The sequence below is a fragment of the Homo sapiens genome, chromosome 22 (genome assembly GCF_000001405.40).
Source record: "Homo sapiens chromosome 22, GRCh38.p14 Primary Assembly".
NCBI classification, from domain to species: domain Eukaryota; kingdom Metazoa; phylum Chordata; class Mammalia; order Primates; family Hominidae; genus Homo; species Homo sapiens.
This window is the reverse complement of record NC_000022.11, coordinates 38,777,689-38,795,410: the sequence shown is the minus strand read 5'-3', so window position 1 is coordinate 38,795,410 and position 17,722 is coordinate 38,777,689. Positions and strand designations below refer to the sequence as shown.

Sequence of the window (17,722 nt, the reverse complement as noted above, 5' to 3'; positions counted from 1 at the left end):
TTGCTGTCTTCTGTTCCTGGGTGGGATCACAGAACTGTTTGAGCCACATTACTGGTCTGGGTGGTGTCAGCTGATCCATCGAGCGCAGGGTCTGCAAAATATCTCAAGCGCTGATCTTAGGTTTTACAATAGTGATGTTATCCCCAGGAGCAATTTGGGAAGGTTCAGACTCTTGCAGCCAGAGGCTGCTGTGTGACCCCTAAACCATAATTTCTAATGTTGTAGCTAATTTGTTAGTCCTACAAAGGCAGACTGGTCCCAAGGCAGGAAGGGAGCCTTTTTGGGAAAGGGCTATTGTCAATTTTGTTTCAGAGTAAAACTATAAACTAAATTCCTTCCCAAGGTTCGTTCAGCCTATGCCTAGGAATGAACAAAGACAGCTTAAAGGCTAGAAAGGCAAGATGGAGTGGGTTAGGTCTGATCTCTTTCACTGTCATAATTTCCTCAGTTATAATTTTGGCAAAGACAGCTTCAATGCTAGTAAATGTGGCAGTGGGGTTTCACCCCAAGTACTCATCACAATAATAAAGGTTTAAACTACGAAGTACCCAACTGACCCTTTGATCTACCAATCAAATAATAGAATCCGCCAGTTCTTCCCCTTTCCCCTTTTCCTTCTCCGTACTTTCGGATTAATTTTCCCTCCCAAGGGGAAGAAAAGGCAGGCTCTGGGCAACTGTGTCTGAAATTAGGTGGTACAAATGTCTCCTAGTGACTAGAGCTAGGTGACCATACAAGGGTGTGGCACAGAGGAAGGAGCCCCTGGGTTCCTTCTCCAGGGAGATTACCTCCATCCTTTACCAAGTTACTTAACCTCTCTGAACTTTAGTTCAGATGGGATGACGAATATTATCACCTAAAAGTACTGTAATGAGAATCAAGTGAGATATTAATTGTACAGCCCTACAAAAATGCTAGTTATTATCAGGCTTTTCAGATCCCAATAAAGTAGTGGCTAAGTGTCACGACACCAACAAGTTGCATTTGTTATTTCAAGTGACTAAAAGAACCTCCCAAGGCAGTACTGCTTTTCGAAGTTTGTTTCCCTAGAAAAAGAACTTCAATGTGTCCCCTGCTCCTCGGGCACGCTTAAGACAACTATAAGTGAAGTCCCGCCTCCCTGGCCTCTAAACCACGCCCCTGTCCTTGCAAACGCCTGACTTATAAGGGCCTTTCACTCTGATTGATACTTTTATCCACCAATAATAAGTGAAATTCTCGTCAACGTCCGGTGAGGGGGCAGGACTTCCTTGCTGGTTGCTAAGACACTCTTGTTTCGCTCCTTGACAACCCTGGCGGGGGTTCGCTGGCTGCGGCCCCGGCTCCGGCCCCCGCAGGAGCAGGTGAGGCCCCGGGGCGCGGCGGGCAGCCAGGCGGGGAGGGCCGGCCCGGAGGGAGGGCGGGAGGCAACGCAGGGCGGAAGAGGCCTCGCCCGCCGCCGAGGCCCCACCTCGGTCTCCTGCCTGCTGTTCCCCTGCCCCAGGTCTTCCCATCCTCAACCCCCACCCTCACCCCCACTTCGGGACCTGCGAGCTCTGTCGTGACAGGTTTGCCATCGCGACTCTGCCGGCTGCTCTTCCCCACCCACCCAAGGCCTGCCCAGCTTCGTGGTCCCGCGTCCCCCTTTAGCCGACTTCCCCCAGCACCTTGATCCCTCGACCTTTCGCGGAGTAATTCCCTCTCCCGCGGGGTCGCCATCAACTAGGTCAGACCGCTCTTGGCTTGGAGAGTTGGCGACTTACTGGGATTCTGGGCTGGTCATTTCCCCTGTTTGGGCCTCAGTTTCCCCATCTGTAAATGAGAAGTTGAGTTGAGTGATCTCTAAGGCCTCTTCCACTCTGACGTTCTAGGATGTCGTTGTTCTTTGACCCAACTTTAGGCTTCCGAGAGGATGTGCTCCCCAATGGGAGGTATCGTGTATTGTGAAAATAACTTGGCAAACCTAATTTGGATTCCCAGTCTCAAGACCTACCCTCCCTGCGCTTTTAATCAGTGCATATGTAAAATCAGTATACGTCGGTGCATCTCCTTTGGTAATTCTGAGGCTAATATGAAGTACAGAGTCCAGTCCAGTATAGATTCAGTATTTGTTAGTTTCTTTCCTTTGTCTCTTCACCACATTTTCCCTCTCTGGGAAATGTTATCAACCCGGTCAGCATGAACTGTCATTTCTCCAGTTGACCCTCTCTGATCTTCCTCCTGGGCTTCCATGGTTAGGGTTACTTAGGGGTGGGGAGGGGACAGATGGAGATTGAAATACAGTCATGTACCATATAACAACGTTTTGGTCAAGAAAGACCACAGATACCACGGTGGTGCCCTAAGGTTATAATGGAGCTGACAAATTTCTATCACCTAGTTACATAGCTATCGTAATGTCAAAGCAAAATGCATGACTCACGTGTGTGGTGATGCTGGTGTAAGCAAACCTACAGTGCTGCCAGTCATATAAAATATAGCACATACAATTGTGTACAGGACATCATACTTGATAATGGTAATAAATGACTGTTACTTGTTTATGTGTTTACTATCCTACACTTTTATTGTTATTTTACAGTGTACACTCCTCCTACTTATAAGAAAATAAAATTTAACCGTAAACAGTCTTAGATAGGTCCTTCAGGAGGTATTCAAGCAAAAGGCTTTGTTATCATAGGAGATGACAGCTCCATGCGTGTTATTGCCCTGAAGACCGTCCAGCGGGACAAGATGTGGTAGTGGAAGATAGTGACACTAAGCATCCTGACCCTGTGTAGGCTTAGGCTAGTGTATCTGTGTCTGAGTTTTAACAAAAAAGTTAAAAATGTTAAAAATAAAAAATAAAGGCCAGGAGCGGTGGCTCACGCCTATTAATCCCAGCACTTCGGGAGGCCGACACAGGCAGATCACCTGAGGTCAAGAGTTTGAGACTAGCCTGGCCAACATGGTAAAACCTGTCCCTACTAAAAATACAAAAAATTAGCCAGACGTGGTAGCGGGCACCTGTAATCCCAGCTACTCAGGAGGCTGAGACAGGAGAATGGCGTGAACCCGGGAGGTGGAGGTTTCAGTGCGCCGAGATAGCGCCATTGCGCTCAAGCCTGGGCAACAAGAGTAAAACTTTGTCTCAAAAAAAAAAAAGTAAAAAAGAAATAGAAAATTTATAAGTAGAAAAAAGCTTATAGAATAAAGATATAAAGAAAGAAAATATTTTTGTATAGCTGTACAATGTGTTTGTGTTTTAAGCTAAGTGTTACTACGAAAGAGTCAAAAAGTTAACAAAATCAAAACTTTTACAAAGTAAAAAGTTACAGTAAGCTAAGGTTAACTTATTATGGAAGAAAGAAAAATATTTTCTATAAATTTAGTGCAGCCTAAATTTACGTAAATTTTTTACGGTGTTTATAAATAAAGTTACAGTAGTGGCCAGGCATGGTGGCTCACACCTGTAATGCCAGCACTTTGGGAGGCCAAGGCAGAGGGATCACTTGAGGTCAGGCGATGGAGACCAGCCTGCCCAACATGGTGAAACCCCATCTGTACTCAAAAAAAAAAAAACAACACACAAAAATTAGCCAGGCATGGTGGCAGGCGCCTGTAATCCCAGCTACTTGGGAGGCTGAGGCAGAAGAATCATTTGAACCCGGATGGTGGATGTTGCATTGAGCTGAGATCACACTACTGCACTCCAGCCTGGGCAACAGAGTGAGACTCCATCTAAAAAATAAAAATAAATAGGCTGGGCGCAGTGGCTCACACCTGTAATCCCAGCACTTTGGGAGGCTGAGGCGGGCAGATCACCTGAGGTCAGGAGTTTGAGACCAGCCTGATCAACATGGAGAAACCCCATCTCTACTAAAAATACAAAATACAAAATACTAAAAATACAAAATATAAAAATACAAAAATAAGCCCGGCTTGGTGGCACGTGCCTGTAATCCCAGCTACTCAGGAGGCTGAGGCAGGAGAATCGCTTGAACCCAGGCGGCGGAGGTTGCAGTGAGCCGAGATCACGGCTTTGCACTCCAGCCTGGGGAACAAGAGCAAGATTCATCTCAAAAAATAAAATAAAATAAAAATTAAAAAGTAAAATAAAGTTATAGTGGTGTCCAGTAATGTCCTGGGCCTTCACCACTCATTCACTGATTCTCCCAGAGCAACTTCCTGTCCTGTACGCTTCATTCATGGGAAGTGACCTATATAGGTGTATGATTTTTTATCTTTTATAGCATATTTTTACTGTCCTTTTTTTTTTTTTTCTAGAGGTGGAGACTCGCTCTGCTGCCCAGGCTGGAGTGCAGTGGTGTGATTTCTGCTCACTGCAACCTCCGCCTCCCAGGTTCAAGAGATTCTCCTGCTTCAGCCTCCTGAGTAGCTGGGATTACAGGCGCGCGCCACAACACCAGCTAATTTTTGTATTTTTAGTAGAGACGAGGTTTTGCCATGTTGGCCAGGCTGGTCTCGAACTCCTGACTTCAAGTGATCCACCTACCTCAGCCTCCCAAAGTGCTGGGATTACAAGCGTGAGCCACCGCACCCGGCCAACTGTACTTTTTCTATGTTTAGATACACAAACACCATTGCATTACAGTTGCCTACAGTATTTAGTACAGTAACATGCTATACAAGTTTGTAGCCTTGGAGAAATAGGCCGTACCATATAGCCTAGGTCTGTAGTAGGCTACATCATCTAGGTTTGTGTAAGTACACTCTATGACATTCACACAACAAAATCGCCTAACGATTCTCAGAACATGCCCCTGTCATTAAGCAACGCATGACTGTGTTGATGCGATAGTTGGACTTGATGGCTTCCCTCCTGCCCCGATAGCCCATGACTTGGTGATTTCTTTCTCCTGACTAGATACCTCCATCTGCGTATCTTACCAGCAACTTAAACTTTGCAGCTCTGAAATGAAACTGACCTGCTTCTCTACCCAGCTGTGCCACCTGGTTTCCCCTCTCCCCATCAGTGGCATCACCATCCTCCTGGGCATCATTCCTCACTCCACCATGCTCATTCCATTTGGGCAGTTGTCAGGTTGTTTTGATTCTGCTGCATGCAGAGCTCACATCGTCTCCATTCCTGAAGCCACCACTCTCCTTCAAGTATTTCATGCCTGTGACATTAATACCCCTGGACCATTACTGCAGCTTCCTAGCGACTGCTCCTACCTCCGGTCTCTGCTCCTGTCAACCCAGCCCACCCATGTCACCAGCCACCTAGAGACCTCCAAAGGGCTTCCCATTCACTATGAAAAAGATCCACACATCTTGCCAGGCATGGTGGCTCACACTTGTAATCCCAACACTTTTGAGAGGCTGAAGTGGGAGCATCACTTGAGTCCAGGAGTTCAAGACCAGCCTGGGCAACATAGAGACCCCATGTCTACAAAAATATGTAAGCATAGGTTTCAGGACCCATCTACACGTCCACAGCCCAACCCCAGTCTTTTTCCCCAGATTTATTTCTCCCTTCTTTGCCAAATTCTATCTTCTAGCCAAATCGGACTGTTAGACTTTCCCAGAAGATGCTTTGTACTTTCTGCCTTGGCACTGTTGTGTTCATCCGCCTGGAAGGTCTTCCTCACCTCGTCCACCTGTTGCAATTCTTCCTCACCTTTCCAGGCCTGACTCAAATGCTGCCCCTGCCAGCAAGCTCCTTTTGCTGTCTTATCTCACCCTCCTCACCACTGCAAGTATGCCTGTCTTGTGGCACTACTTTCTGCCAGGCTGCCAGGAACCATAGTTAGTTCCTTGTGTATGCCTGTTGGTCTCCATATTAGATTGTAAGCTCCTTAAAGGCAGGGACTGTCTGATGATTATAGTCGAGTAGTTGAAAAAGCATAATCAGGCCAGGCATGGTGACTCACGCTTATAATCCCAGCACTTTGGGAGGCTGAGGTGGGCAAATTGCTTGAGCTCAGGTGTTTGAGACCAGCCTGGGCAACATGGCAAAACCCCGTCTCTCCAAAAAATAAAAAAATTAGCCGAGTATGGTGGCACAAGCCTGTAGTGTGCCACCACTGAGTGTGGTAGCATGAGCTACTCAGGAGGATCATCTGAGCCTGGGAAGTTGAGGCTGCGGTAAGCTGTGATCATGCCACCGCACTCCAGCCTGGGCAACAGAGTGAGACCCTGTCTCGAAAAGAAAAGAAAAAGCATAATCTTTGAAGTCATATATACCTGCAATCAAATCCTAGCCCCTTTGTTTATTAACTAGGTGGAAACTCTCTTTTTTTCAGGCTGTGTGGCTATACCAGTAACGTAGGGCTAGTAGTACCTGTCTGACAGAGTGACTGGGGGAGGGACATCCTGTATGTAGATCGCCCATTCTGGTGCCTGGCTCAGGATCAGTGTTCAATAAATAGTCTTGAATGGATGTGATAGGTCCTCTCCCCTCCCATGGGGCAAATGAAATATAAGTTAATTGCAATTTGGATAATTTCTGGGCTTCTGCCGTGTGCCAGACACTGGCCTTTGTGCTCTGGGGCATCTAGAGCCAAATCAAGTTCCTCAGCCCCAGGGAATCTGGACTCACGGGCACAGTTAAGTCGTGATCGGTTGTGAGATGTCACTGGTAATTAGCAATTGTGAATGAGTTTCTAAAAAATAAATCCATGCTAAGTCCAATTTATTTCTGTGATAATGTCACTCTTACTCCCTTAGATTCAAATCTGTTCTCTTGAGTGGGAGAGAGCGGGGCGGGAGCCTGCCCTGCTGTGTGTGGCGAGCAGCTGTTCTCCGGGAGCTAATAGCTGTGATGGTTGTGACTTTCCTTATACTTTGTATCTTGACAAAACTGTCTGGGATTTCATCCAAGTCTGGCTAAGTCCTTGAGGGTGCATGTGTGAGTCAATGTCACTTATCACATGGTGTCGGACATGAGGAAATGTTGAGAATTGCAGATCCAGACAGCAGGCCTCTCTTCTCTCCCTCCCTCCTCTCCTTCCCTCCACTCCTCCCTCAGTCCCAGGCACATTAAGTTTTCATTGGACCGCAGCAAAATGAGAAAAAATAAGGACCACGTAAAAACAACTTCGTGTGTTTGACTTTTCTTGAGGAGGGCTGATCTTTATTCTGCCAAATTTTCCTCTTTTGTAGTAGATGATGTATCTTCTAAGGCCCTTTTGCAGCAGAATTTTAAAATGGCAGCCCTGCGTCTGCCCACACTTTAAACTGGTCTGGGAGCCTGGCTTCTGCATCATTTCCTGACCTTACTACGAGCGTCTTGGACGAATGCCCAAGTCCTTAGGATCCTTTTTCCTCCCCTGTCAGCTTTGTTCTTCATTTGTTCGCTAGAAGGCCAAGGAAGACTGGAGTGCCCGCCTGTGTCCCCAATGTGGCGGGAAGCAAGAGGCAGGCCTGGACAGAGGCTGGATGGGTGGATGCTGAGTATCGAAGTCATCTGTGTTACTGGCTTGTCTCCTACTTGCTTGTGCCAAAGGAGAAAGCACAGAAGGTCGAGTCAGAAGGATGGATTGGGGTTCCGATCCTGGTTCTACCATTGCCGGCTGTGCACCCTCAGGCCACCCATAAAACCTCTCTGAGCTCCAGTGACTTGTCTGAGAATAGGGAGCTGGATCCTTCCCTCACAGGTGTTAGGAGGATGAAATGAGATGGTGGATGTGAAGGCACACCATAGCCACACCACTACCACCTCAGCCCCAAGAGGTTTCACAGAATTTCCTTGTGACTCTTTCCTCCTTCATTACTACCACAGTGGTTTGCACATAGTGGGAACTTGGGAGATAGTGGTTTGTTTGGCTGCACGTTTAGATGTGTAGCAGGTTGGTCTATGAAGAAGGATATCGCAGTTTCCTTCCTACTGCACCAGTAACAGGAGCTGAGTCCTTAGCCCCAATTTCCAGATGAGAAAACTGAGGCTGCCAGGTGCAGTGGCCCACGCCTGTAATCCTAGCGCTTTGGGAGGCTGAGGCAGGTGGATCACCTGAGGTCAGGAGTTCGAGACCAGCCTGGCCAACATGGTGAAACCCCATCTCTACTAAAAATACAAAAATTAGCCAGGCGTGGTGGCGCGTACCTGTAATCCCAGCTACTTGGGAGGCTGAGTCAGAAGAATTGCTTGAACCCGGGAGGCGGAGGTTGCAGTGAGCCGAGATCGCGTCACTACACTCCAGCCTGTGCAACAAGAGCAAAACGCTGTCTCAAAAAAAAAAAAAAGAAAGAAAGAAAGAAAGAAAAGAAAAGAAAACTGAGGCTTAGGGAGGTAAGCCCTTGTCTAAAACAGAACCAAGATGTGAATTCAGATCCGACGGTGGAGTCTGTACTCAGAACCACCATGACATGCTCCAGGTGTGTCCTGCAATCTCTCAGGTGCATGGTGGGTGGTACAGGGAGGCGAGCCGTGATCTAAGGGCCGCGGATGTTCCAGACATTGAATGGCTGCCCCCCTCCCAGGGGGCTGGCAGATATTTTGGGCCTTATTTCCCAGAACGCATTCATTTTTCCCAGTCCCTCCCACACACCCTAACCCTCTTTAGGATTCTTCCCAGACGCTTCAGACACAGAATAGTGAATGGTGACTGAGGTCAGTGCCACAAAAGAACAAGGGATAGCAGGACCAGGAACACTGGCCTTGACCAGGCAATGAGATAAAGGGCCCTTGTCTGTGCCCACTGTTGCTTAGGAAGAGCCTCACATCAGAGGGGGTGAGGATATGTAAAGCCCACAGATGGCCCTTGAGTGAGGAGGAGAGCAGGGGTAGTGGGAGAGGGAATAAGGCTGCCCCTGGCTTTGCACCACTGTGGGCCAGATGGGCTGGAGTCGAGCTTCTGTACCCAGGAGATTCAAGTACCCTGGCGGTGGGCACAGTTTTGTTTTTGTTTTGTTTTGTTTTGTTTTGTTTTGAGACTGAGTCTCACTTCTTCGCCCAGGCTGGAGTGCAATGGTGTGATCTTGGCTCACCGCAATCTCTGTCTCCCGGGTTCAAGCCATTCTCCTGCCTCAGCCTCCCCAGTAGCTGGGATTACAGGCATGTACCACCACATCCGGCTAATTTTTATATTTTTAGTAGAGACAGGGTTTTACCCTGTTGGCCAGGCTGGTCTCGAACTTCTGACCTCAAGTGATCCACCCACCTCGGCCTCCCAAAGTGCTGGGATTACAGGCGTGAGCCACTGCACCCAGCCACAATTATATTATTAAAAGGCTCTTTTAGACCTGACATGACTCTTTCTGGCTCCAAGAGTTCAGGCACATGCTTCTCTGCATGGAAGATTGATAAGGTTGTTAGAACCTCTGGTTCTGCTATTTTTGGTAACATTCTTTGAGGAGAGTTTTAGGACTGTGGCTGAATGACTCTAGCTGTACTATAATGATACAGCGTCATAAAAAATTCTCCTGCCTTTCTGTATTTGGAAACACATCATCTATAACGATTCCTTTTTATTCTGTCTCATCTCTTTTAGGTCCCCAGAAGTATGTGTAGTGGTTAGAAAAAGCTCTTTGTAGTCAGGGCCCTTAGTAAACTTGGCTGAATCATGGTGACCAAGTCCTGGCTGATTAACGCTGGTAGCAGAGAGCACTGTGATAACAGCGCAGAGAGCTTTAACGTTTCAAATCGCTCACATACACATACCTGGGGCTTGCAACAGCTTCCTGAGAACGCAGAGATAGGATTTAGTATCCCGTTTCATAGAGAAGGAAACCAAGGCTTAGGTGAAATTACTTGCTGACGGCTGCAAAGAAAGGAAGTGAGCAGAATGCTCGTCTTTGACAGAGCTGGTCTCCATGCCTGCACACTCCGGCTTGCGGCCCACACAGTTCTTAGCTCTGCAAGATGCTGCACAGGTCACTCTCCCACTGGCTTTTCCCCGTTGTTCCTGAGAAATGGGCCTTGGTCATACCTCTGAAGTCATGGGACATCTCAGCAGGATTCTGCATGTTAGAGCAGCTGTCACAGACCCTGACCTCCTGGAGGGTGGCATGTCCACAACTGGCTCCTGGTTCCCTCCTGGCTCCTACATGCCAGCACTTTTTAGCCTCCGGGATGAATTGAATCAAATGGAAACATCTCAGTGGAAGATGCCTAAGAAGCTGCTTCCACATTTTTCATTGTTCCCCCTTGAAATTCTCAGAGATAAACAAACTGTGTGCCCTTTTCCTTCTGTCATCAGTGTAGCCGCCACCTCTGTCACACCTGGACAAAGGTAGAGGAGGAAGCAGTAAGGCTAGGAGGACAGCCTGGAATTGGAAATACGCCTTCACATTCATGAGCAAAGACAAAATGATTCCCTGAATTTTGTGAAATAAGGAACCTGACCAGAAAGTACAATGAAATTGTGCTTGGTAATTCACCAGCTTGTAGAGAGAGACAAACAAAAACTGCTAACATCTGAGTGGTACAAATGCCCAGAATTGATGAGATAAGTGGAGCCATCTGTCCACTGGGAAATCAGAAAATACCAATGTCATTGGATGGGGGGGGGGGTCTGTGCCAGGCTTCCAGCCTCATGCGAGGGAGCCGACCAAATGGAGTGGCACCGAGTCATTGGAGCGGGGATCAAATCAAGAGCACAGCCCAGAAAGAGTGCCCAGAAAGCTCAAGGCTGGGCCAAACCAGGGTCAAGTTAACATTAGAAAAAGAGCCAGCAGGCTGGGCGCGGTAGCTCACGCCTGTAATCCCAGCACTTTCGGAGGCTGAGGTGGGCGGATCACGAGGTCAGGAGATCGAGACCATCCTGGCTAACACGGTGAAACCCCATCTCTACTAAAAATACAGAAAAAAATTAGCCGGGCGTGGTGGTGGGCGCCTGTAGTCCCAGCTACTTGGGAGGCTGAGGCGGGAGAATGGCATGAACCTGGGAAGCGGAGCTTGCAGTGAGCTGACATCGTGCCACTGCACTCCAGCCTGGGCGACAGAGTGAGACTCCGTCTCAAGAAAAAAAAAAAAAAAAAAAGTGAAAGAGACAGCAAAGGGGAAGAGCAAATATTTGATTCGTCTCCCTTCTAGGATGATAGGAGCTGTCCCAGTGGGCAGCTGATGTATGCTTGTGAGTGCCTCCTGTGTGCCCATGAGGAGGCGTATGAACAAGGGGTCAGGAGTGCCCATGCCGACAGCCGGGCCTGGATTCACACCTTAGCTGTGTCGCTAACGAGCTGAGTGACCTCAGGCCAGCGACTGACCAGCCTCATGCCTCTGTCCCTACAGAACCGAACTCCCGGGGTTGTTGCGATGACAAGGTGTGTAAATGCATGTGAAACACCGACAGGCAGGAAACCGACAGCCGTCACGTGTCATCACCTGCCTGTTAGTTACCGTGCTCGGCACCTTTGGGTTCCATGACTGTGCAGTGAAAGGAAATTTATTTGGAAATGTGAGAAATGCTGGAATAACATTATTTTGCTGTAGTTGTCTAATATAAATCATTAAAAAGGGCTTAACAACCTGGTGATTTGTATCCGCTTATGTCAGTACTTCTGAGATTAAAAAAAAAAAAAACTTTGAATTATGAGATAAATTGGGTTGAAGATGAAAGAGAAATGCCTGGATTGGCAGGAGTGCTGCCAGTCATCTCGGGTCCAGGCCCGTCTCTTTAGTAGAAGCCCCGTCGGTTAGGGAACAGCCATGTACTGAGTGCCTGCCGTGTGCTTGGCACTGTCTTAGCTTTACAGGCACTGTTTCTTTGAATTCTCATAACGGCCGCATGAGATGGATGTGACTGTACCCACATTACTGGTGAGGAGTCTGGGGCCCAGGGCCATACTGCTGGTGACTGACTGAACCAGCAGCAGCACCCAAGCCTCCCAGCTGCTGGGCCAGCAGGACAGGACCCAGTGGTCCAAGAAGGAGTAGGAAAGAACAACCAGGGAGCCTGGTGTGCCAGGGAGGGCACAGAGCAGCACCGTGCCCATTCCCCTGAAGATCAGGGCCTGCAGAGGGGCCCCCTTGCTTGCCAATAAGCCCAGACTGTCAGTGGTGACCTGAACATTTCCCTTCCTAAGCACAGCTTCTGGGAAGGAAGGCCCATGTGTGTAGCAGGAGGGAAGGCCCGTGTGTGTAGTGGGAGGGAAGGCCCGTGTATGCAGTGGGAGGGAAGGCCCGCGTATGTAGTGGGAGGGAAGGCCCGCGTGTGTAGTGGGAGGGAAGGCCCGTGTGTGTAGTGGGAGGGAAGGCCCGTGTATGTAGTGGGAGGGAAGGCCCGTGTGTGTAGTGGGAGGGAAGGCCCGTGTGTGTAGTGGGAGGGAAGGCCCATGTGTGTAGTGGGAGGGAAGGACCGTGTATGTAGTGGGTACGCGGGGAAACTGCATTTGCTCACTGCCAGCTCAAGCCTCCATCCTGCAGGCCTGGCCCACAGTCAGTATTTGTCTTGATAATGACAGTGTGGGCTTGCGGCATCGTACCAGTGTGTTCTTAACCAGGTCCCAGCATCTCGTGTTGACTCATCCTGCCGTCTGCAGACTTGCTGGCCATTTGGAAAAGGGTGCGGAGGAGTTAAGATGGGGAGGTGTCAGATTGTTACTGAGACATTTCTAATTTGCGATGTATGGTTTTGAAGCCAGCTCTTTTTTTCTGGTTTCTCCTGTTTTCTGCAGCACCCCCCGGGGAAAGACATTTTCTGCTCCCACCGAGTTGGCAGGGCCTGCTTCCTGAATCTCCTGGGTGTGTCTTAACTGCCAGTCCCAGCACCTCCTGAAAGCCCCACTCTCCTCCAGTGGTCACAGTGGAAGGATCATGGGAGAAACAGAAGGGAAGAAAGATGAGGCTGATTATAAGCGACTGCAGACCTTCCCTCTGGTCAGGGTAAGCCCCAGGGGAGGGAGGCAGGACTGCCGGCAGGGCCCACACAGCCTGGAGAGAGGTGGGTGGAGCTTGTCCCTTGCAGGATGGCAGTGGGAGGAAGTTAAGAAGGGCTCTGCTGGCTCAGACCTAGACATCTTGGAGTTGACAGTGATTCATTGTTTCATTCATTCATTCATTCACCAAGTATTGGGCCACCTACTCTATGCCGGGCACTGTTCTAGGCACTGTGGGGATGGTAAACGAGACAGGCGAAGGCCTGGCCCACATGAAATACATGTTTTAAGAACATGATCGTAGGCAGTAAGTACTATAATGAAAAATGAAGCAGGTGGAAGGAGCTGGAGAGCAGAGGTTAGCTTCTGGAGAGGTTTTGCAGATCAGAGACCTGAAGACAGAGAGCAAACCTCACAAAGACCTGGGGAAGAACATGCCAAGCCGGGGAAACAGAGGCACGGGAAGCCTGGGATGGGAATGAACTTGGCATTTTGGAGGCACAGAGAGAAGGCCAGCATGGCTGGAATGGAGTGCTGAGAAGGGTGGCAGGACATAACAGCACCAGTGGGGCCAGACCCTACAGGCCTGGCCAGCCACAGTGAAGAATGTGGTGAGAACTGTGGGTTCTGTCCTGAATCGAAGGGGGAACACTGAAGGGTTTTAAGCAGGGGAGTGATGAGATCTGTTTGGTTTTCAAAAGCTCACTCCAGCTGTTGTGAGCAGAATGGATTTGGAGATACCAGAGCAGAAGTGGGGAGACCAGCGAGGAGGCCGCTGTGGAGGCCCAGAGCGATGAGGGTGGCTGGGTGCGGCTCACGGAGTAGAGTGCGAGATGCGGTCGGGTTTAGGGTGTTCCGTGAGTGCAGAGGCCAAAGGACCTGCTGCCAAATTGGAGACTGGGTATGGGAGCAAGAGAGTCCAGGGTGGCTGCTACAGTCTGTCTTTTCCTGAGTATTGGGAGAAAAAATGGTATCAATTACCAGGAAAAGGAGATGGAAGAAGATGGGTTTGTGGGAATCAAGTTATTTTTAGACATCTAAGTGAGGCTGTCAAGTGGCCAGTTTGACAGAGTAGTCAGGAGCCCAAAGAAGAGGTTAGAGCTGGGGGTAGAAGTGTGGGAGCCCTCCCACAGAGAGGACACAGACAGGCGCGGAACACACAAGACCCCAGAGATGGAGTCGCTGGAGATGGGAGAGTGGAGGTGGGGCCCAGGGCCCTCCAGGAGCTGGGAGGAGGAAGGAAATCCAGCAGATCGATGGAGAAGGAGCAGAGGGAAAGGCCGGAGGAAAACCAGGGGCCCCAGAGAGCGCCCAGCGGCCTCTTCGGGCCTCCGGGGTGAGATTCCGTCGGAACACACTTCCATAGCCAGCATTCCCTCCGCCCTCAGCCGGCTTTCTTCCCATGTCTGTTGGCTGGAACCTGGTGCTGGCTTCGTGCCCTTGCAGAGAGCCTGGGCTTGAGAGCCCACGAGGCTCAGCTCCATGCCATGCCTTTGCCCCAGCTGCAGGCCCTCAGTCAGGAGATGGGTCACCTGCCCAGGGCTGGGCCAGGGAGGCTACCTGCTGTCCATGCCTTAAGCTTGGGACAGAGAGGCCAGCCAGGAAGGCCAGGTCACGGGCTAAGCCTGTCTCTTGTTTGTTACCCCTGCCCTGTCTCTAGCACTCGGACATGCCAGAGGAGATGCGCGTGGAGACCATGGAGCTATGTGTCACAGCCTGTGAGAAATTCTCCAACAACAACGAGGTATTGCCAGCAGTGCAGGCGGCCCCTCGTGCTTTTGATGGCCCCTGTGGGTGAATAAAGTGGCCCCTGTTCCCTGCAGTTGGCTCCAGACAGTACTGCTAGGATGAGGCCAGAGCCTTCCTTGGAAGCATTCAGTCTGGGGAAAGTCAGTGAGTGAGAGGCTGGCGCTGACTCCAGGCACTGACGGTCACACCCAGCCCTAGAGGAGCAAAGCCACAGGGGTCTCCATGACGCCCCTGCCCATGTTCCCTGCCTCAGGTGGGCTGCTGAATAGGGTGCCTTTCCCCGTGGTTCCATCCCAGTGGTGAACAGAGGCCTGCCCAGGCATCCATTCATGTATTCACTCATCCATTCAAAAAGGTGTTGAACAGGCGCTGTTCTAGGTGTTGGGGATACGGCCAGCAGGCATCAACGCAGGAAGGCCATTCATCAATCTGGTGGGGAGAGCGAGAAGTCAGTGTTGCGGCAGCCGGTGGGGAGGCAAGACACTGGCCAGTGGGAGCCCAGGCTTTGGGTCGGCCAGGCCCAGGTTCAGATCCTGGCTTCAGCCCTTCCCAGCTGTACCCTTGAATGAGCCATTTCTCAACTCTGAGCGCAGTTTCCTAGTCCTTAAATGGAGGGTGGCGATGGTGCCTCCTCACTGGGCCAGTTGTGAGGATGTATTTACTGAGACGATGGGGACAGAGTGCCCAGCATGGCACCTGGCATGGTGGGAGGCGCTGTTGGTGTACCTCAGGCGCCTGCACCTGGACTCGCCCTGCCGAGCGGGGGTCCCTGCCCCTCTAGACCTCCTCACACAGGGGGCACGTCTTGAAAGAGCAGGCACAGGAAGAAGTCGACTGTGGCCATGACTAGGGGAGTAGTCGGCGCCTCCCCAGAGCCCACTGAACGCATCAGGTACCTCGCAGTCTGCAGGGTGCCAGGTCTCTCCATCCAGTTGGTCCTGAGACTGCCTGGTGCCCCGCTTGTCCAGGTTACATCTGAGGGAGGTGGCACTGGCCCAGGAAGCCCGCACTAAGTGCAGAGCCAGGACGCAGCCCCAGGCTATCTCCAGACCTGATGCTTGCCTTCCCGCCTCAGCCAGTTTCTTCTTGACTGCTGAGTAATGTCTAGTTTTCTGTGCCTGTGTAATAGACCTGGCAGGAGGTGGCCTGCGTGGAAACCCTTTTTGAAGCAGGAGGACAAGAGAAATAGGACAGCAGGCCTTTCTCTTGCCAAGACCTCAGTGCCAGCCTTCTCCTTCCTGGAGAAGGACCTGACTCCTGCCCCCACCTGCCCTGCGCCCCCTTGATAAGTGCCCTCTTCCTTCCAGAGCGCCGCCAAGATGATCAAAGAGACAATGGACAAGAAGTTCGGCTCCTCCTGGCACGTGGTGATCGGCGAGGGCTTTGGGTTTGAGATCACCCACGAGGTGAAGAACCTCCTCTACCTGTACTTCGGGGGCACCCTGGCTGTGTGCGTCTGGAAGTGCTCCTGACACTCTGTCCCCTGCCCCGTCCCCTGCAGGGCCTTTTCCTGCCACTCATCTGGGGTGGGGAGCAGCCCTAGGCAGGTCCTGGTTTTTCCAAGGAGAGTTGGGGTCTTTTCTTTTTGTCTTTGTGTACCAGTTTCCTGAGCCACGCCCAGTGTGTGAACTTGACATCTCCATCCCCAGGCTCTCAACCGTCTCCCTCGGAGTCTCAGGGTGTGGACGGGGCAGCGGGCATGGGTCTGTGTGGGAGACGTGGGGTGGGGCGGTGTGACAGGGTAGAGGAGGTGGGAGATGAGATCTTCCGCACAGGAACACGCCAGTCCCCCTTTCTCCAGGGCTGCCTTCCCCTTGCATCCTGGGAGCCCCACTGCCCTGCCATCCCCAGTACTGCCGGGAAGTGTCGGCCGTCCTTGTCATTAGTGGTCATATGAAAATGGCCCCAAGAAGGAGATGATTCTTTCAAGGGACACAGGCAGCTTCTCTCCTTGTCCTCTGGGGAGGTGCTGACCCCTCAGAAACCCCTTCCCCCAACTTGACCCCAGGCTGAACAGACCACTGCATCTCACTGGGCCAGCAGCCCCCCCAGCCCCCAGCCTTGGTGGGGACCAAGCAGCCTTTCCCGTCCCCTCCTCGACCCGTACAGTTGAGAGCCAGGGGCTGGTGTGTGGGAGCTGCTACCTGGCAGTTTCTCGAGGGGTCACCGAGCCTCTGGTGGGACACCTGGGCAGGAGTGCTCTCACCACGAGGCTGCTTCCGCAGGGAACCCTGGCCTGCCCGCGACTTCGCATCAGGGACCGCATGCTGATTTGTACTGCTCTCTGCTGGGTTTTCTATGTTCTTTTCGAGTGTGGGAAAAGGGTTTTAGTAGAAGGGTGAATCGTATTTTACACAGCGGTCTTATTTATATAAATGTCTTGGTTTTTACAATTAAAATGACCAAAAACTGACCTCATTCTACAGTCTCTTGATGTTAGGGGAAGGTGTGATCAGTATCCTCAGGCTCAGGCACCTAGAGATGTTTCTGGTTAAACTGTGAGGCTGCTGGAAGCCCCTGGCCCAGGCATAGCCCCAGTGGACATGGCCTGGCCCCTCTCACCATTAGGTCACTGAGGTTGGGGGCCAAGTGCAGCTGGATGGGGCCACACGGACACTGAGATACGCTTGGCAGCTGGACTAAGCTACAGTAAAGATGTTTTCAGGCCCACAGAATTTCACTCAGTTCAACAGATGCTTATTCAATAGCCACTGAGGGTCAGGCCCCAGGAGCTGAGGATACAAAGACAAGCCATAGGTCTGGCCTCAGTGAGCTCTCGGTCCACTGCAGAGGACATGGGCCCCATCATTTCACTCATACGAAAAGTAACATTGTAAGATAGGGCGGGGCATTCTGGCAGGAGGAAGGAGGGACTCCAAGCCCAGCCTGGGGAGTACAGGGTCTCCAGTGGGGTAAGGCCTGACAGCCGACGCTTGAACAGAAAACGGGATCTTACCAAGGGAGAGGGCTGCTCTCAGGACAGAAAACTAGACATTACCCCAAGGCACTTGGGGTAAACGCAGGAGATGAGAAGTGACTTGAGGACAGGAGCCACGTGCAGGCCTGTGAAGCCCCCTCAGGGGTTGTCCCCTGAATCCGAGCCTCAGAAGTGAACACCCCGGGCGTGGGGAGAGCGGGGAGAGCCCGCCTTCCCATGCACACAGGGGCCCTCCTGAGATGGTCCCTAGGATACATGGGTCTGGGAGCTGAAGCCCTGTCCTTATCCCAGTCC

The 17,722-nt window shown here is 51.0% G+C and overlaps 1 protein-coding gene across 1 annotated transcript, besides 2 other annotated features; it reads left to right on the top strand.

The window, feature by feature from the left end:
* Positions 1,077-1,526: a silencer, noted in NCBI's record as "silent region_13732". NCBI's record gives its function as "represses an Ori minimal core promoter by ATAC-STARR-seq in GM12878 lymphoblastoid cells {active_cell/tissue: GM12878}" and the evidence as "EXISTENCE:reporter gene assay evidence [ECO:0000049][PMID:35858748]".
* On the top strand, positions 1,268-16,903 carry DNAL4 (dynein axonemal light chain 4). The gene is made up of 4 exons (NM_005740.3): positions 1,268-1,343; positions 12,541-12,748; positions 14,402-14,485; positions 15,798-16,903. Exons 2-4 carry the CDS (start codon positions 12,680-12,682, stop codon positions 15,960-15,962), a joined length of 318 nt encoding a protein of 105 aa, NP_005731.1. The 5' UTR covers positions 1,268-1,343; positions 12,541-12,679; the 3' UTR covers positions 15,963-16,903.
* Positions 15,244-15,744: an enhancer, noted in NCBI's record as "H3K4me1 hESC enhancer chr22:39175672-39176172 (GRCh37/hg19 assembly coordinates)". NCBI's record gives its function as "activates a minimal SCP1, AML or CMV promoter by ChIP-STARR-seq in primed H9 embryonic stem cells {active_cell/tissue: H9 hESC(primed)}" and the evidence as "EXISTENCE:reporter gene assay evidence [ECO:0000049][PMID:30033119]".

Bases quoted from the DNA above. Each gene is read 5' to 3' on its own strand.
- DNAL4 (NM_005740.3), top strand. From the start codon at position 12,680: ATGGGAGAAACAGAAGGGAAGAAAGATGAGGCTGATTATAAGCGACTG. The intron at 12,749-14,401 runs GTAAGCCCCAGG...CCCTGTCTCTAG, and splicing joins AGACCTTCCCTCTGGTCAGG to CACTCGGACATGCCAGAGGA. The intron at 14,486-15,797 runs GTATTGCCAGCA...TCTTCCTTCCAG, and splicing joins AATTCTCCAACAACAACGAG to AGCGCCGCCAAGATGATCAA.